Raw genomic sequence first — 20525 nt, 5'->3', positions numbered from 1 at the left:
TGATCAAAAAAGTGCTCAGCTGCCGAACATGCTAGGGAAACATTCCTTTTCTTGGAGATTCTCAACAAGACTATTCAGTGATCTAAGTATTACAACAGTAAGAAACTTATCCAACCTTGTTTAAATCACATAGCTAATCACAGAACCTTTTAAGTATATACATATATATTACAACCACTAATCTACAATATCCATTGGAACACACTTTGGGAAATGCTAGTCCAAACAAATAATGTCACAAGTTTCAGCTAAATTCTTGACTTGGGTTGTGATAAGCATCACCAAGTAAACAAAAGATGCCCAGTTAAATCTGACTTTAAGTGAACAGGAAATAATTTTTTTCATATAAATATGTCCCATGTAATATTTTTATTTGCTAAGTCTTCCAACCTTAGCTGTGGCATGGTACTGTCAAACAAACCTGCTGGGACCAAAAATGCATCGGGTTGCTGCTTTGCTGTGCACGGTGCTCATACCTCCCCTGCAGGCTCTGCCACCCTGCTCTGAGTTGCGGCGTGCTAGTGTGCCTGGTAAGTAGTTAGCATTAGAACAAAGGCAGTTACCTTCTTCAGCGTAGCACTCTGGGATCCCATTGGAGCTCATTATCAGGTTGCCATCATCGTCGTGCCGTTCCAAGGTCCCAGGGGGACAGGTGGGGATGGGAGTGGTGGGTGTGGGGGTGGTGGTGGTGGTTGTCCGCGTAGTGGTTCGGACTGTGGTTGTTGGACGCCTGGTGGTCGTGCGGCGGGTGGTGGTCGTGCGGCGGGTGGTGGCAGTGGTGGGCCTCGGGGTTGTAGTGGTAGGCAGGGGCGTCGTAGTAGTGGTGGGCTGCATGGTAGTGGTAGGGGGATGGGTGGTTTTTTTGATGACCTCCAAGCCCACCAGCGGCTTTCCTCCAAGACTCAAAATTGGCTTATCTTGGGCATTGGCCAGAGGTGTGCCATGTCGCCCCTGCCCAAAGAGTGGGAGGCCGTCAGGACTCACCACGGGGGTCCCTTCCAGATCTGAAACAAAATCAACCAATAGCTATGCAACAAGGTGAAGCAATCCAGAGAAAATAAAAAGCAAGCAATAAGTGTCTTCTCAAAGCTTATGTATTATCATGTTTTAATCAGTAAAAGGCAAAGGGATAAATGAATATTGCATCAGTATGCTCCACGATCCTGAGATAACTCTTGTGTCTAGCAAAGGAAGAAATACTTTCCTTTGCCTCATTCCTATGCCTAAGGGGGAAAAGTGTTACTTTGGATTAAAGGTGGAAAACTTCTTCTGTAAAGGGCCAGGAAGCGAATATGTTAAGCCTCATAGGCCGTATGGTCTCTATTGCAGCTACTCAATCCGCTTTTAGAGTGCAAAAAAGAAGATAGACAATACATAAACAACACATAAAAAATGAGTTAGACAGTGCATAATTAAGTGAGTGTATTGTGTTCCAGTAAAACTTTGCGTATGGACACTGAAATGTGCATTTCACGTAATTACCATGCCACAAAATATTCTTTTTTCTGGCAATCATTTAAAAATGTAAAAACTATTCTGAGCTCATGGGTCTTACAAAAATAGGTAGTGGGCTACAACCTACAGGTTGTAGTTTGCGGACCCCTCCTCTGAAAGGGCCAATTTAAGAACAAAGTAAAGGGCCACATTTTCTAGAGGGTGCAGCCTGCAGGAAGAGAACTAACGCTCTCTGGGGGAAACACCAAGTTCTGCCTCTTTTGAGGCTCTTCTTCTCACATGGGTAAAAGTAACTAACCCATGACCATTCATTATAAATGAGGGGGAGAAGGAAGATAGAAGCTGTAATTCTATGGCTAATTCAGTAGGCTTTTATTCTTTAAAAACCATTCTCCCTTACCTACAATGGTTCGACCATCTCCTCCTAGTTTAATCCGAAGAGGATTTCCATGTGAATCTTGGAGGTACCTTCCTTCTGCATTCAATACTAACCCACGATCAAGGTCCACAACCTAAATCCATGACATAGATTAAAGAATATATTGGACATTTTGAAATGATCACATTAGTCCAATTATATATGTATATACCCCTGAAGCTTCCACAGAAGGAAACCGTAATGTGAGTAGAAGACATTCTTTTTGTCAATATCATTCATAAAGTCTTAAAAAGTAAAGTACAGGCCGGGCGCGGTGGCTCACGCTTGTAATCCCAGCACTTTGGGAGGCCGAAGCGGGCAGATCACGAGATCAGGAGATCGAGACCACGGTGAAACCCCGTCTCTACTAAAAATACAAAAAAATAGCCAGGCGCGGTGGCGGGCGCTTGTAGTCCCAGCTACTCAGGAGGCTGAGGCAGGAGAATGGCGTGAACCCAGGAGGCAGAGCCTGCAGTGAGCCGAGATCGCGCCACTGCACTCCAGCCTGTGTGACAGGGCAAGACTCCGTCTCAAAAAAAAAAAAAAAAAAGTACAAAACAGTCATCTTTCATATTATAATTGCTTACCCATATAACATGTAAATTGTTTTAAGTTTCTCAAATCACAAAAGATGTTCAAAATATTTTTACCATTAAGTACATTGTGTCTAATGCTGGAAAGAAGGAAACAATGTGTCTCTCAGTTGAGGGAAGAGATTAAATAATTTGTGGCCCATCCATGTGGTAGAATATTATGCAGACAATTCTACATACGTTCTACGTATATGTGAACTCAGATTACAGGGCTGGTTATTTTGCAAAAATAAAGATATATCCATTTGCATATATAAGCTTAAAACTGCAGAGAAAAAAATTATGGAAGGTTATACCGCAAATGGTTAACAGTGGTTATCTTTGAGAAGTAGTTTGGGTGAAGAATGTTTATTTTCTGTTTCATATATTTCAATATGAATTGTTTTAACTTCTTGCAATGAATGTGAATTGCTAGCATATTAAAGACATAAAATCTTTCCATTTTGCTGTTAATGTTAAAAATCAAAGTTGCTGTAACAAAAACAATATAATTTGTAATCACGTTGCCTAATATAGTATGCATGCAGAAAACGTCACATTCTAAGGAACTGTAAAACTTGAAGAAAGCTATAATTATCTCTATTAAGGAACAAGCTCGTGCTCTTTGCTGGTGGTTCTCAAAGCATGGTCCTGGACCTGAAGCCTCAGCATCACATAGGAACTTGTCAGATACTCAAATCACCCAGCCCTACCCGAGACTTGTATTTGACAAAATCCTCAGTGATCCTGAGCTGGCTTAAGTTTGAGAACCACTGCTTTAGACACTCAGGCTACTGGAGGAAGCCCTGCAAGCAAGCCACTTTGGTGGGTATTGTTTTGGCATTAAAATAAAATTTATATAAACTCTATTTTGAAATCTACCCCATGCTGTTTCCATTCAAAATTGTTTGCAATAGCATTTTGCTTTAATGTGCATTCTTCCTACTATAAATTTCTCTTCCTTTAAGAAATGATAACATGCATCTTTAGATCACCTATGACTGAAAATGTCATAGTCTTTTAGTACATTTCCCTAAACCTTATCATTATAAATGGGAAGTTTTGGTTGGGAATTACAGTATAAATAATTTTTTTATTCTTAGAAAAAGTACTTTAAATTCCTGAATATTGTAAAGTGTTCTGTTACCCTCAACCCACCAAAACCTCCTAAACATTTATCTTAACCCCAAGCAATTAAAGCTGTTTAGACATACATGAAATACTAATACATAATTTTAGTCCAACACTTGTTGGAAGATTCAAAAGATGATCTAATAAAAATTTCCAGTATCATTCAGGGTTTTTTGTTTGTTTATTTTTACCCTGTGTCCTTTGAGAAAGGATTTGAGATGACTTACAGAAAATATGTGTAATGTTTAATCAAACAATAAACAAAACCTAAAAATAAAATGAAGCTACCAGGACAGGGAAAATATAAGTTCCTTTGAACGGCCATCCATTGGGTCTATAATTGCTATGGTTGGGCCATGCATTCATTTGACCTTCCTAACCAGTCAAGGCAAATGAAAAACGAAGGCCCATGCCTTATCTTGGCTATGAGAAGAAAACAAGCTAGTTACCAGGAGAACCACAGATTTTTCCGAGTATTAAAATAAACTCTATACAAGTACATATAAGTAGTTAAAACTAGAGAAGAAGAACAAACAAAGACCACTTCATTTATCATTACACAATGTCCACCATTTTTCTCTTCTCAACAGCATGAAAACAACGGGGATGTGTAAAGAAGTTTACCCTACCCACTTTGTTCCTTGAGGGCCATTGATAATTCTCTGTCCATTCGGTTTTCCATTACTACCAGGAAGGACTTTCCCTTCTACATTTGGTCTGCCATTATAACCTACACAGTACCAAAAATAAAAATAACAGAGCCTGGTAAATTCAACATGCCCGGGAAGTTGGCTTCATACCAAACTATTAGTAGTGACACATCATTTCAAATAGAAGCTCTAAACAGAATTTTAAACCAATAGCTCAAATATATTAGATAATGATAGTCTCAAATTATGACTTCTCCACAACAGATATGAATGTCAATTAAGAATACAGTAAAGTCACAGCTTTCTGACAATACTGTGGGAATGAGAGTGTGTGGCATAAGTAAATTTGCCATAGAAAACTTAAGATCTTAGTAGCTGTAGCTTTATTTTAGCCATGTGGAAGTTGGAGGAAGGAAGGATTGGAAGGATAGAGAAAATTATGTCTAAAATGTACTAGATGCTGTCCCACTTTTCTGGGGATGTTAAACTAAACACAGCTATTCCCAGCTGACTCAGGTCCCAATCACCAATCGCCGAGTATAAAAGCACAATGCTGTCTCAAAGCTTGCTGAACGCTGTGGGGCTGCTTGAGAAGTATTTGCTCAGACAGTAAGAAGATGCAGCAGCACCCTTACACTTGTTGTTTCTGTCTGTCTCTGCCTCACATGGAGATGTTTCTCATCAGCTCCAGTCTACTCTGGTCCAGCATTGACCGCTCGGCAAAGTGCTTGGGCTTTCTGACCGCTACTCGCAGGTCAGACACTTATTTCTCTCATTCCTTCATTTATTTATTAAATATTTATGGAGTTCCTGCTATATACAAGGGAACGTTGAGTTTTACATCTACTCTCAGGGTGCTAGGTTTGATTAAAACAGTCAATCTTAGTGGAAAACTGAGTTTGATATGGGGCATTGTTCTATGTCTTTACATTGGGCTAAAATAACAATGCATTGTACAGATCTGCAAAAAAAAAAAATACATTCATTCAAGAATGTTCTATAAAGCCCCAATTACATACAAGGAGGGTTTAAAGCACCATTTAACTGAATGCAAATTTATGGTAAATGCCTCGGACCCTGCCCTGGACATAAATTCCAGTTCATAGCGGACTTTGTTCAACCCTCTGTTATAGAAATACAAAGCACACATCTGCCTGTAACTCCTCTTTGTGACAATGATCTTTAACATACATTTTCTGGAGGTTTTAGACAACATGCACTAATTGCACTGTCTGAGCAATTCATACCCAAGATATCTGAGTTTGTCTCAGGGTTTGTTTGGTTGAGAGTTTTGCATGCAGAAGATGAGAACAAGATAAAGACAAGAACAAGATAAGCCTACATATGTATCTAACCAGCTTCTATGGATCCCTTAAACACATGGCGGCACTTGAACAACTAAGAAGAACCTGAGTTGGGCATCATGGTTGTGACACATTTTCACAGGTTAAGAGTGTATGCCAAAGAATTCAAAGAGGCAATGTAGGACAGTGAAAAGACTGTGGAATTAGAGGCAATGTGGGTTAGTAATGGCTGTGAAATTAGGCCATTTGGAATTGGAATGGCAACTCTGAGGTGTCTGCCTTAGGGCAAGCCCCTCAGATCCTGAGCCGCAGCTTCTGCATCTGGAAAACAGGGATAACAATGCAAACCCTAGGGACCGTTCAGAGGATGAAATTATGTCACATGTGCAAAGCTCTTAACACGGTGCGTGGACATAGTAGGTGCTAAATGCAATAGAATAAAAACTTCTTAGGCATTGCCATGAACACCACTGAACACCTTAAAGAAAGACTGTTTGAAAAAATAAACTACCTTGTCTGTAAGAGGGTCTGGCAGGCTGTCGGGAGAGAGGGTTACGGAATCTGGCATGCATCATCCTCTGGCGCAAGGACAGCATCGGGGTGGTGGAGAAGTGGCCAGGTGGGGCGCGCGTGGTGTACTGCGGCCAGGGGTGGGTGCCCGCGACGGGGCTCACGGTGGCAGCGCTGCGAGGCGGCAGTCGGGAAGGGACGTGGGAGGCCCTGGGGGAGCTGCCTGGAGGTGGGGGGAGAGGTCGCTTCACAGGAGCCAGGCTCCCTCCGCGAGGGGCAAGCGCGATGGCAGGCTCCCTCTCTTCCTTGGCGAGGCTCCCATCGGCGTCTTTGCCGCCCCTGGGAGTGGAGGAAGAGGGCCACTTTGGCACAGAGGAAGACAGAAGGTCTTCTTTCCCGCCTTTAAAAAATCCCGCGTCCTCCTCCTCGTCGTCCTCGGCTGAGACCGACTGCTGGGACTTGGAGGACAGGGGCCGCTTGGAAGGAGGCTCCGACTTCCCCGGCGCTGCCCTGCTGGGTACCCGGGCGCGGGACTGGGGGCCGCCGGGTCGGCTGGGCCTGGCGGGGGAGGCCGCATGTCCGCGCTGGGACCTGTGGTCGCCACCTGCCCCTGCGCCTGTGGGAGACTCCACCTGCTGGTGCTTGGGAAGGGACGCAGCTGCCTCCTTGGCGCGCGCGGCGTGCGCGGGGGCCCGCACATCCTGGGCCTCGACTTCTGTGCTGTCGTCGTCGTAGCTGCCCTGGGCATCCTCGTCCTGGTTCTGGAGGGCCGTGGGGAGCATCCCTCTGGAGCTCGCCGTGTAAGGGTCCGAGGAGGAGTGGGAGCGGCCCTGCGACGTGGGGCGGGGCCGCCCGGCCTGGGTCAGTGAGAGCCTGGGCTGGGAAGGTGACCGACCCGCGTCTCTGCTCTGGGGTCCCGGGTGGTGCTGGGACGTGGCGACGGGAGGAGGGGGCTGCTGTTGTGGGGCCCGGCCGGGTGTCATCCTTCTGGGAACACTGGGATGCTGCTGTGACCGTGCTGCGGGCGGACGAGCAGGGGACGCGTGGCGGTCTGTGGACCCTGGCTGTGCTTTGGGAGAATGACCCTCCGTGTCCGCGTCTGTGCTCTGTTGAACATCCTGAGCCTTGGAGGCCAGGGAGGAGTACTTGCCCTGAGGATGTGTATCTGCCCCTGTGGATTTGGGGTTCTCTGGGATGGGTTCCTTCCGATGCAGGCTGGCCCCTCTCTGCGGGCTTCTCCTTAAGTCCTCCCAGCCCCGGGAGATGGGCTGCCTGGAGGAGGAAGGCACGTGGTCATTGACAACGGTGGCAGGAAGCGGCTTCTCATCCTCCTCGTCTCCATGGATACCTGAGCTAAGCTTAGGGTGGGAATCAGAGTGAGAGGGAACCCTGGGGTGGGCTCGGGAGGGCACAGTCGACTGTGGGGAGCTGGAGGGCTGCAGCCGAGGTCCCCGCCCAATGCTGAACCTGCTTGGAGACCTCCCGTTGGCAGCAAAGGGTTTGTGTCTGAGCAAATGGAAGTGTCCAGAGGCAGGCCGGGCCCGCAGCGTCTGGGCCGTGGCCTCCGCCTGCCTTCCGCCGTCTTCCCTATCGCCGTCACCGTGGCTTTCACCATCAGAAGCCTCCGCTCCCTCAGAGACCTGCGTCCTGGACGAGAGATGAGAAGAGACGGAGGAGGACATGGTGGACCGTGATGGCGCATTGGAGTTGGTGGCTGGGGCGTCCTCACCATCCTTCCCGCCCTTGGAAAGTGGAGAGCTCAGGTGTGGCTGGGTGGGCAGCAGCCGAGATGATCCCCCATGGGGTGGAGAAAGTCTTGAGGGTGGGGCTGAGGCACTGGAATCTTCCTCTGCGGCCCCTGAATGGGGGGTCCTCCGGGCCGGCGAGGCTGGCTTTGCGCCGGGGTGCACAGAGCTTCTGTCGCGGAGAACGCTGGACGGGGACTGGCGGCTGGGGGACAGGGCTGGCCGGGGCTGGGCGAAGGCGCCCTTGGGGTGGAGGGAGCCCACAGCGCGCTCATCTTCGTCTGAGTCCACCAAGTCGTTGTCATTCAAGCTGGCAGGCAGGGAAGGACGATGAGAGGTGCCCTGGGTGGACGCGTGGTGGGCAGGAGAGGCCGAAGCCGAGGGGGGCGCCCCTGGGCGGGGCTGCGTGGCCAGGGAAAAGCCAGGCTTATCTACGCCTTCCCTTCGGGGCAGCGCTGGCATCCGGGCCCTCACTGCAGTCCTGCCGGGAGCAACCACCGAGTGGCCGTGTCTACTTGGCGGCCTCAGGGTCCGTTTCTGGTCTTGGGTGTCTGAGGGTGACATGGGCGAGTCCTCCCGGGAACCCAGCTCCTCCTCCCCAGTGATTTCTGTCGACTGAAGATCCAGCTCCTCTGCCTTCTTGGCGCGAAGCTGGGGTTTTCGGGGCGCCCCACCATTAGCCAATATTTTGTTCTTCAAGTCAAGAAGAAGGTCCTTGGCATTTCTCCCTTGGGGAGAAGCAGGCACAGAGGGGTGTTGGGAGGAAGCTGGAGCTCTGGGAGAAGGTGAGGAAGGCTCAGGTTTTTCGGGTTTCCCATTGTCCTCCGTGTTCTGCTCAACATCCGCCTTACTGGCTGCAACAGATTTTAAAGAATTGCCTGTCAAAGAAGAAACTCAAAAGCGAAAGCGGAGGTGAGACACAGTATTTAAAACAGCATATGGAGGCATTTCAAATCAGTAGTCATAATGGCTAACTTCTAATTCCTTAGAACACTGGAAACGTGTTTTCTCAACGATAGCATTCTTTTTAAAACTTATATTTTGCTTTAAGTAACAAATATAGTCCTAGAAAATATAAGTGAATTGAATCTCTATTGAACCAGGTTATGCCACATCTTATTATTTGAAGAAATTCTGAAATGAGTACTTTGAAGTAACTCATTTATTTTATAAATGCAAAATCTTATATAGGATTTTCTTAATAAAACTAATTGTCAGTGTATTACAAATGCATTATAGCTGTCCTTAATAGACAAGAAACATGAATACACCTGGTGCAAATTGCTGAATAATCTATACTCAAAGTGATGGGGAATGTGTGACGAGCAACCAATTTGTAATTTTTTTTTTTTTTGAGACGGAGTCTCGCTCTGTCGCCCAGGCCGGACTGCGGACTGCAGTGGCGCAATCTCGGCTCACTGCAAGCTCCGCTTCCCGGGTTCACGCCATTCTCCTGCCTCAGCCTCCCGAGTAGCTGGGACTACAGGCGCCCGCCACCGCGCCCGGCTAATTTTTTGTATTTTTAGTAGAGATGGGGTTTCACCTTGTTAGCCAGGATGGTCTCGATCTCCTGACCTCATGATCCACCCGCCTCGGCCTCCCAAAGTGCTGGGATTACAGGCGTGAGCCACCGCGCCCGGCCCCAATTTGTAATTTTTAAGGCAGTACAAAAATTTCCCTCTTCCCATAGCATGTCCTTACCTGCTTCCTCCTTCTTGTTTAAAATTCCATTAATAGTGGACACATTTATAATTCTAAAATAAGGCTTAAAATAAAAAAAACTCCTGGGATAGGCAAACATTATATTAAATGTACTGTAATCACCCTGTCTTCAGAGCAGACTGACTGAGGGAAGAGATTCTATAGGGGAGAGGAACCTATATTGCAGTGAGAGTGCCGGAGGGGCAAATGTCATCCATTTCACAGATTTTTCCATGACAAAATTGTCTAATATTGCAGTCTACCATGGGTCTTCATAGCACATAATGAAGGAAAAGCCGCCAATATCCAGCATAAATGTGAGGAAGTAGAAAAGAAAACATGGTCCAAAAACACTCCCTTCCAGTTGTGGATCTTTATTAACTTGTTTGGTTTGGATATCGATCAGGTAAGCTAGACAACTGAAATCCTTCTGGGTACAGCTGCATTCCTAAATAATGGAATACAAACCAAAAATTTTACTTTTATCTTATTTTTAAATTTTAGATTCAGGGGCTGCACGTGCAGGTTTGTCACATGAATATACTGCATCATGGTGAAGCTTGGGCTTCCAGTGAACCCATCTCCCAGCCAGTGAATATTGTACCCAGTGGGTAATTTTTTTAACCCTCACCCGTCTCCTGTCCTTTCTGCTTTTGCAAACTAAACATTTTTAAAGCTACATAGAAATTGAAGAGAGCTGACAATGAAAAATGTCACACTACCATTTGTAAAAATGTTCTTTCCCTGTTACCACAAGCCTAAAGTTAAATAATGATGTCAGATTAATTATATAATTAATACATTAATAATACTGAAATAGTAACTGTTATCAATAATCAATAACATTTTAATCTTTGAGAAGACTAATTTCTAAAGGAAACACAAAAATATTTTAAAAATCAATATGCAACTTAGCCTGGAAAAATCATCTGCTGAGCAGTTCCAAACCCAAGAGCATGATTCAAAGGAACACAAAACAAACAGCAGGAATGAAGAGAGAGAGAAGACAGCCACAGACACATAATGCTTACTTGTTGGCATAGCGACAATGAAGGCTTTGGAGTGAGGTCCCAGGCCTCTCCTGTTTGTGGCCCGGATTTTGAAAAGATAGCGTTCCCCAGGCTGCAGACCATCCACCAGGGCAGAAGTAGTGTCTCCAGGATAGGTGAGGGACTTTGCTCCAAATGGTTTGAGAGCCGGGGCGTATGAAAGAATGTATTCTGAAATGATTTGGCAGATGGTTGGAAGGAGGAAACTGAAAACAGTCCTGTGTCCAGCAGACAGACTGTATGGGCAGGACGAATTAGAACGTGCATTACTAAAATTAATACACTAGCAATGCACGCCAAGTCACCAGCTGGAGCATGAAGACACAGCAGAAGGTGAACTCACATTCATTCGGGCAACCACACAGGGCTATGTATTTAATTAGCTGACACTTCACCATTTTAGGCAAATTAAACATATGAAAGCCAGGAGGCCAGTCTTCATACAATTCCCCCCAAATTTACACACCGTTGGGTTTCTAAAATTGTATTTATTTACTAATTTGCTATGATTGATATGTCCTGATAGAATAAACTAAGGAAAAAGAAGTGACAACTGCTAGGAATGGATCCTGAATAGCATCTGACATCTTCAAGAGTTTTACTTTATTAACCTGGGTTATTTTTATTAGCACATTTAGCCAGAAAAATTCCATATTTGAAATATAATTTCATTTTTGTAGGAATTATAAAAGTTCTTAGTATATCCTGATAAAGATATTTCACAGTATTTTAGAGCTGTGAAGAAAAGTTGTTAAGTAATAGATTTATGTGATAGCTAATGTTTCCATCTTTAATTGGCTTGCTCTATAGTCACATAATAGCCCTGAATTTTGGAAAACCAAAGCAAATTCAGTTCAAGGAACTAAAATATGTTTATGCTCACATGGAAATGTTATAACATAAGGGAATAATATTTTAAAAAATAATTTTTGCCTTCAACTAAAAACTGTCATGCCTATTTCCTCTCAATGAACCCAAGATTTACAAAACATCAAATTAATATGAGTAGGGGCTGGGCATGGTTGCTCACGCCTGTAATCCCAGCACTTTGGGAGGCTAAGGCGGGCAGATGACTTGAGGTCAGAAGTTTGAGACCACCCTGGCCAGCAGGGTGAAACCCCCGTCTCTATTAAAATACAAAAATTAGCCAGTGATGGTGGTGTGTGCCTGTGGTCCCAGCTACTCGAGAGGCTGAGGCAGGAGAATCACTTGGACCCTGGAGGCAGAGGTTGCAGTGAGCCGAGATTGCACACTGCACTCCAGCCTGGGCAATGAAGTGAGGCTATGTCTCAAAAAATAAAATAAAAAGAAAAAGAAATGAGTAGGAACAAAGAAAAATAACTTTAATCACAGAAAATTCAAGAATTATCAGGAGCATGGATGATCTTTTCTTTTCCCTTAGCTCCAATCTTTAAAAAGTATATTTATTTAAAAAAAAAACGTTTCAACCAAAAATGCTTTTGCAGCATTTGTCTGGAAAAAACAGCATTCATTTCTCATTGAAAATCAACAAACTTGTCATTTGTGGTGGTCAAAAGTAAGAATTAAGAGAACCCATTGTCTATAAAAATTTGTGATTCAAATTTTAAAATAAATTAAATCCATCTGGAAAATAAATTTAGCCTTGTCAAAGTATATTCTTCTATTACGTTTTATATTTCTTGTACATAGAAAATTATTAATTTTAATCTCACCACTACACCCTTACAAAAACGACCTAAGCAGGCTTAAGATACGCGAGTTCTTTTGGACATAAAAACTCAGTATCTGTTATTATTTCTGCAATATTTAATTGACTACCATGGAACTTCTTTCGCCAAGGAACTGTAAATATCAACTCAGATGAGGGAGAGAGGAAGAGTACATAAGTAGCATGGGAATAAAGTCACCAGAGGTGCAATAATTACCTTTTCATTTTTTAACTAACAAAAAGTAGTTAGCAAAAAAAAAGTCTTTATTCAATTTTCAGAGGTCTTCTCGGCAGCACAACAATACTTAATACAGAGGGAGTTAAAGTTCAAATTGTGGTAAAAAGAATGATTTAAAGCAAGCTGTTCAACCTGTGGCCCACAGGCTGCAAGCAGCCCAGGACAGCTTTGAATGAGGCCCAGCACAGATTCATAAACTTTCGTAAAATATTATGAGACTAATGCATGGACCTTTTTTTTAAAGCTCATCAGCTTTCGTTAGTGTTAGTGTATTTTATGCGTGGCCCAAGACAATTCTTCTTCCAATGTGGCCCAGGGAAGCCAAAAGATTGTACACCCCTGATTTAAAGGGACCAAATTAATATTTTTCTCTGGTTGTGGATTTATTCCAATGGCAAAAAAAAAAAAAAAGAGAAAGAAGAATAGTACAATCTATTCTTTAAAAAAAAAAAGTGAAAAAACGTGAAGTATAGAAAATACAGTTCCACATCGACCTTCCTTAACTTCTATTATTCCAAGAAAAGACATCCTACATGTCAGCAAACATAACTTTTGGATGAATATAAAAGAGAACCATTCAGTTTTTTCAATTAAGAAATTCTCAAAGGAGACTAGTAGTAATTTTCTGGATTTCTTTAAGCTTACACAAACATTTCATAGTTTCTGGACATATTAGACTTAAAGTTGCCCCTCAATCTAATAACAATAAAAATTATTTCTTTCTTGAATAAAACCTCCATTCCTTCCTACCCTTAGAGTACATTTGCATAGGCAGTGCCAGGAAAAACTTCAGCATGGCTCTTTAAAATGTCTCCAAACAGATTCTGAGAGGTTCTTAAACGCTTTTACATTAAAAATAAAAGATTTTCATGTTTATTTAGTATTCTCAACAGACTATTTTAAAATTTAACTAGTTGTGAATGTTTTACTCTATTTTTATTCTTTAAAATATCTAGGTTTTTTTGCTATTTTGGTGTTATGTTTTCCTTGACATCAATAAATACATAAACAAATGGTGACAAATAGGGAATCAATCCATTTTCCAGCGATTATTACTTGAGTTTTTCAAACCCATTAAATGTATTTATGGTCCCATGAAAGATACTGATGGCTCTGCAGGATTCCTGCTGACACCTGCTTTCGTGATCTTCCTAGCACAACGAAAAGACCCATAGCATGGAAGCCAGGGTGTTGTTCAGATGGGAAAAGGTTATGTTGTCACACCCATGCAATGAAAAACATCCTTCCCAACAGCAACAGCAAAAAGCCTTCACAGGAGGATGAAAAGAATAGTCACTTTCGTGACTGCTTGGATCTTGGGCAATGAAAATCTTGCATGAAATATCCTCGTCCCTTGGGTGAGCACCTCTTAGACATATGTTGCTTCCCTATTTCTTTTTCAGTCAACAAAGCCGTAAGCAGAGGCCATGTTCATCAGAATCAATGCATCTTACAGTTTAGGGAGTGAGATTCCTACCTTTCACTTTCCCCTCAGTCTCTGGTAGCGCATCCCAAGATGCAGCGACAACTGTAGGTTTGCCATTGACTGGCCAGACGTTCAAGTTTTCAGGAGCTGTGGTAGGGGCTACAAAATGACAAGGAAAGAAACATTTTTAAATGCCTTACCGGACATTCTAGATGTAAATAGCACATGGTCTCTAGGTACACATTTTTTTAAATTGAAGACCTACTGTGTTAATTTTTATTATACCTGACAGAAAATTCCACACTGGTTCTTTGTGTAATATAGTGATTTATGTCACTACAACAGTTCATTTAGTGAGTTTAGACCTATCTAGGGAAATGGTCTTAGTAATTCAGAATTTCTTTCATTGCCAAATATTGAAATATACAAAGAAGATTAAGATCCAGTTCCAACTTCTTCTTAATGAAACTTTGAAAGACATAGTTTAAGAGAAAAGAATGGTAGCCTTGGATACAGACCAAAATTTTTCCCAGAATCAAATGCAACCTCAGCCTCAGGAAAGCAGAGGCTCTCCTACATGCAAGAGCCATCCATCACCTGGGGGCATTCACGCACACAATGGTGACTGATGCATGCTACACACTGGGATTTAATGTGCTCCACATGTCAGAACAACATGAACAACATGCTAGTGGAAAAGGCCAACAAACGGTAAAACATGGACCCAAAAAACAGTTCCTTAACTTCTTTGCATGTACGCATAGAAACTCTACCAAAATTTAGGATTAACATGACTTTCAAAAATGCCCACGCTGGCCTTTGTCACTATTGGCATCTTACATTGTCTTTAAATCTTATTTTGGGTGTAATTCCCAAATTGAAAATTCAAAGGCCATTTCAAATACAGACCAGATTCTGGTGTTCTTTGGAAGACTGACGTACTCCATTTGCCATCTCTTTCACCCTGTGAAATACGGACTGCAAATTCATACACAGTGTCTGGAATCAGGTTCTCAATCAGCACACGCCTGTTAGCGATCTGCTTATAATCCCACCTGGCCAATTCCCCCTTCTCTCGATAGCGCACGGTGTACTGTCTGTAAGAAAACACAACACAATGATCTGTCCAAATTCTCTGCCACTCAACACTAGATGCCTCGCTGTTTTTCCTTCCTCATAAGTGATGACTTTGGGAGGTAAGTAAGAAAATCAAAGAGGAGAAAAATCTAAACTTTTGACTATGTTATTGGCTCAAAGTTCCAAGCAAAGTTGTCTAAAGTGGGAGAAAAAAACAGAGCTTAGTGTCTTTTCAAGACCAAAAAATCTTACCATTCAAAAGAGCAAGCAGAGATTACAAAGGGAAGAGAGAGAAGGGAGACAGCTTTTATGAGGCAACTACTTTATCAGGGATATGTGTTTGTGTGTGTGTGACTGTGCGTGTGTGTGTGTGTGTCTGTATTTGTGTCTACTCAAGGCACTAGTAGGGACCTGGCCCAAGGTTATCTCAGCTCTCCAGAAAAGAAAGACAAAAAAGACTCATTTCATCCCAAATCAGGCATGTTTTCCATAGGTTCAGGAGGAACGGGAACATGTGGTTTTGAGTAGACTTACTACAGTGAAAAGGAGTGAAAATGTGAAACAAACAGAGCAGGACAGAGGCACCTATAAAAGGAACTGTGGTGCATGGTTATCGGGGGAGAAATACAGTATGACCAAATATGGACAGTTCAGCAACCCCTGACAGTGGACACCCTCAACACTCTAAGAGCTGCAAATGCCATTTATTAGATTCCCTTTCAAAGAAATTGTCTTTGTGGCCTCTTTGCAGTAGAAAGCATTTGATACATTAAAAAATGTGCTATTTGTTATACTGAATATGTTAAGAGAAGATTTCAGTTGAAGACACAGGACACCAATTAACACAACAGTTCTGCTAAGAAAACTCAAGCCTTCTCTGGTTTCAGCAAGATGTTGGAAATCAAAGTCCAATGGTAAAAGGAACACTTCATGTTGAAGAAGACCATATGGCTAGGGAGAGAATTGCTACGAATCTTCTGAGGTCTTTCAAAAAAAAGCAGCTATCTTTTTTACTAGCAGACAGTGAAGGAAACTATATATCTAACATGAATAATCATTTATATATGTATATATATAATGTCATCATATCCCATTCGTTTTAAACTATATTCCCCTTTCTTGGTTGCAGAGAGGTTGAAAAGTTAATATATAATAACCAGACCACCACATCTGTGGCTTTCTCTTGGTTACTTAATGTATTCAGTCGTGGAAATAAAATTTTCATGGCTATACTAATCTACCACTAACTAGAAATGATGTTCACTAGTGGACTTTTAACATAAAAATATTTTAACCTTATGATTGGTTTGCCTTTTATTGCTGTTGCAAATGAATATAAAAGGCAGAATAGCATAACATCATGGTTTAAGAGAAGATAAGGTGCATTTTGTTATGTATAAATGAGCCAGACATGAAGCAAGTCAGTGTTCAGCAAAGTCTAATGAGGAACTACGAAGTGTAAGGCATTAGACATTGTCCACCACTCTACATAAAGTCCATCTAACAGTGACTCTTCCTGGATCACAGGAGGAATGGTGAGACTCCTCCCAAAGTGGACCCTGTGCATGAACAGAACATCAATGAGAGAAAGCAAAACACAAACACAGGCAAAGAAAGAAATGGAATCTAGGAAATTTCCAGACACAAGATAAATCACTGAGCAAGTGAGATGTGAATTCCTGCTGTGTGCACTACACACGAGGCCCTGCTAACATCTGATTTGTGGGAAATGTGTGAGCACACCTGGGATTAACTAGATTGTCATAGAATATTTACCATTCAGCTATTCAGCTACAAAAGAGACCAGCATTCATGTAAGTCAGAAAATAAAATCATTAAATACATGTCTTTTCAGGGCCAGAAAAACCCCATCTCTCATATATAAAGACAAATAAATAAGCAAAAGTACCTTGATGCAACAACTTTCTTCTGTTTTTCCAGAACAGGATCCACCCAGGACACAAGCACAGACTGAGATGACATAACCCGGACGCTGATGTCGTCAGGTACATCCAATTCGTCCTCTTCTGAAATGACAACGAGACCCAGAGAAAGGCTTTCTCTCACAACAGGTTCTGCCCTGAGCTCCTCAGTCCTTGACAGGCTATTATTCACCCTGCATAAGTTTTAGATTGCTTGTGTGTAATGTAGACAAAATGAAATTGATAGAAAGGTAAACAATTATTGGATTGGTCAGTGTAGAAAAACAAAAATCTCAGTCTTGCATTTCTTAAATACAGGCTAAGAAATGAGCATTTCGGCCAGGTGTGGTGGTTCACGCCTGTAATCCCAGCACTTTGGGAGGCCGAGGCGGGCAGATCACGAGGTCAGGAGATCAAGACCATCCTGGCTAACACAGTGAAACCCCGTCTCTACTAAAAAATATAAGAAATTAGCTGGGTGTGGTGGCGGGTGCCTGTAGTCCCAAATACTCGGGAGGCTGAGGCAGGAGAATGGTGTGAATCCAGGAGGCGGAGCTTGCAGTGAGTCGAGATCATGCCACTGCACTCCAGCCTGGGCAACAGAGCGAAAACTCCACCTCAAAAAAAAAAAAAAAAAAAAAAAAAAAATGAGTATTTCACTTTAAAAGCTGCCCAACCCAATCGACATATAAAACAGTACAAAGGGGATGCTTTGCCTAGGTGAAAGATGGTCCAAGTAACTCAGTGCTTTCTCAATATACACTGTAAGCTTCTGGAAAATAATAACATTTTCATGGGAAGAAAAGTTTAGGAGAAGGAAAGCTCAACTCACATTTCCTTGATGATCATGGCATGAAATGAAAATTCTGGTTCAAACAACTGCAAGATTCACATTGGGTTTGATGTCCTCACATTTTAGAAGGTGTGAGTCCAAGACAGATTAAAACATGTTCAGATATGAACTAGAAGTCAGTTTGCCAATTTCTTACAGAGATTTATCTTTGTTATCAATAGAACATATCACAGTCACAAAGCTTATAGTCTTAGTTCAAAAGACTCACAAGATGTCTTCAATATTACTCTGTAGTCTCTTGGGTTTTTTGTTTGTTTTAGTTTTTTGTTTCGTTTTTTCTTTTCACTTTTCAGGGACCGTGTTTCAAAAGGATGTGGATTTTACCACCAGCAGGGGAAGGTGAAAATATTTAGCCTGCTAGAAAAGTGATATAGGGACTCATCCTATGGCAGCAATTCATCAATAATAAGAGAGAAACATTGTATTTGTGGAACTTCATACAATGTAAAAAAGTATAACTTTCATTTTATGTTGTGAACTCATGAAAATAATTATGTTGTAGATTGCCTCTTTAAATTAAGGTATGTGGTCCAGAAAAGGTACCTGTCATTTGTTAATGTATCAGGAATATAGAAAATGCCTGTGAAGGGACGTGGGAAATGTAACCGTGTGGACAATGATCAGGCTCTCAGCAAACCACTATGATGCTTTTTCTGAGGATTCTCAATGCCATTTTAATGCAAATATAGCTGAAATAACATGTGTGTACTTATCTTGCATGCACCACCTCCCGCCTGCTCTTCCTTCTCTCTCACGTCGTTCAGTGCATCACCCAGGGCAATTTAGGCTTGGGTCACACTGCACCTTTACTGGAATGAACGCTTGGCTGCTCCTATCGCAGCAAATCTGCTGCACAGTGAAGTGGCTCAAAATAAACAGTGAAATGTATTCCATCACAAGAGCACTCTAGCCTTTGCATATAAAAGCAGCACGCTTACACCCAAAATGTGACCACATTTGCCCTGTTATTTCTTTTAGCCTCAATAAAATTCATGTAATTCATCATTCAGCCAGCATCATTTGGAAACAACATAGCATTCATACCAGACTATGGTTTGACCAAATGCATCCTTAGAAACATACCTGAAATCTTTCGCTTTGTTAGGGCAGCCCTGTAGACTGGTTGGCTCCGGCCCTGAGAGTTCATGGACTGCAGGGAGACCACATACACGGATTCCGAGGCTGTGGACCAGGGAGTGAGGGATGAGATTCTGACTTCCATTTCTCAGGAACACACATCCCCTGGGGCTGGAGCGGGGGTTCTGCATTCCTCCTCCCCTTCCCCTTTTTCCGTTTCCTCTTTCTGGGGGTATTCCCACTTCTTGAGGACTATGAAGGGCGAGCCCAAGAACTGCAGGAATTAAACTCAAAAAGAACACTATTATGTTAGAAAATAGGGAACTGATTTTTTACCAGTAATTCCTGAAAAATAGGTTTCTACCTCATCAGCATCAAAAAGAGATAAGCAAAAACAAAATCATCAAAAAGAGATAAATGCTTTAAAAAAGAAAAGAATAACACGTTTACCCACATAATTCCCCCAATTTCTTTCTACTTCCAAAATTGAGAAGAGGAGGTTACTCTGTTTTTAATCTGTCACCAGAAAGAAAGAAGAAAAGAAAAGAATAGCCAATGTGCAACATGAGTAGCCCAGGTCTTTCTTTCCCTGTGGAATGCTGTGCCCTTCAAAACTAAAATCCTCAAAACAGAGTCTCTGAAGATTTGCTAACAGCACATGGAAGACTTTAAATGTACCCCTTATTTCTGGATGGTTCTTTCAGTCAGTTCTTGCCCGCACCCTCCGAGGGTCCCACTAGCATGCAACTTAGCCTGAACTTGAAAATTGAACAGCTGGTCCTTGAACAACACAGGTTTGAACTGTGCAGATCCACGTTATACGTGGATTCTTTTCAACCAGATGCAGATAGGATTGTATTCCAGAGGTGCCAAACCCGTGCACAGGGAGGGCCAGCCTTTACTGTACGTGGATTCTGCAGGGTCTTGAGTCTGCACGGATTTGGGTATACTCAGGGAATGCTGGAACCAATCCAGTGTATACCAGGGGCCATTGCACTTGAAGAAAAAAATGCAATGATGGAACAAAACTTGTCCTCTCAATTACTATGGAATCATAAAGTCTGAGACCCAGGTAAAACCTTTTTTATTTTTTATTTGACCTTCTTATCTTACAAATAAGAACATAAAGCCCTAACAATTGAGTGACTTGCCCAGGGTCACACACTTAATAACTTACAATCTATCCTGAATCCAAAATTGCTAATGCCTCACTCCAGACTCTCTGACCAAGGCTCCTGTTGCAGCTTTAATCTTTTCAAGAATAAAAATGAGGCGATCTGGCCTATTTCTAGTGCCAATAGTTATAATATCAGGTAGGACCTAAGTAAGTTAACGGAAGTGACACTAAGATCCTAAGGGGAGCTGAGAGCACGCACTCTCCTTCAGGCACTGCACATGTTCAGATGGCAGCAGGAAATCCCTCTTTTGTCTTTACAAGCATGTTGTGCTAAACGTGAAAGAAGACTTGTGTTCAAAATTCTCACACAGAGGGACTGTTTATGGACAGTGAGCTGCTGTAGAAGAATCAGAGGTTTCAAAGGAAGAGGATAATATTTGACAGCCTGCTCTCTACAGAGAGAAAGCGGGTGATACTCTAGCCATAAATGAGTAAATTATTTATACGGAGGCACTCGGCACTCACCTCTTATTCTACCAGAAGATTTTAAAATGTTTTATAAAAGGGAGGGAATAGTTTGTAACACTTGA

At 42.5% G+C, this 20525-nt stretch overlaps 1 protein-coding gene across 3 annotated transcripts in view, besides 1 other annotated feature; it reads right to left on the bottom strand.

The window, feature by feature from the left end:
• Nucleotides 1-20525, bottom strand: part of FNDC1 (fibronectin type III domain containing 1) — a 102709-nt gene that overhangs the window by 31588 nt on the left and 50596 nt on the right. For all 3 annotated transcript variants that reach the window (NM_032532.3, XM_011536190.3, XM_011536191.3), the window contains 9 exons: nt 18825-18923; nt 16876-16993; nt 14799-14986; nt 13941-14048; nt 10518-10706; nt 6042-8639; nt 4206-4306; nt 1856-1967; nt 564-1004 (listed from right to left, as the gene is read on the bottom strand). In NM_032532.3, the coding sequence (NP_115921.2) occupies nt 564-1004; nt 1856-1967; nt 4206-4306; nt 6042-8639; nt 10518-10706; nt 13941-14048; nt 14799-14986; nt 16876-16993; nt 18825-18923 (3954 nt within the window). The remainder of the gene's footprint in view (nt 1-563; nt 1005-1855; nt 1968-4205; nt 4307-6041; nt 8640-10517; nt 10707-13940; nt 14049-14798; nt 14987-16875; nt 16994-18824; nt 18924-20525) is intronic.
• Nucleotides 2193-2377: a silencer, noted in NCBI's record as "fragment chr6:159659176-159659360 (GRCh37/hg19 assembly coordinates)". NCBI's record gives its function as "represses an EF-1alpha promoter that drives an FKBP-Casp9 reporter gene in an ReSE screen in K562 erythroleukemia cells {active_cell/tissue: K562}" and the evidence as "EXISTENCE:reporter gene assay evidence [ECO:0000049][PMID:32094911]".

This window comes from Homo sapiens, chromosome 6, assembly GCF_000001405.40.
Source record: "Homo sapiens chromosome 6, GRCh38.p14 Primary Assembly".
NCBI classification, from domain to species: Eukaryota; Metazoa; Chordata; class Mammalia; order Primates; family Hominidae; genus Homo; species Homo sapiens.
The sequence above is the reverse complement of the archived record's forward strand: the minus strand, read 5'-3'. Positions and strand labels throughout refer to the sequence as shown.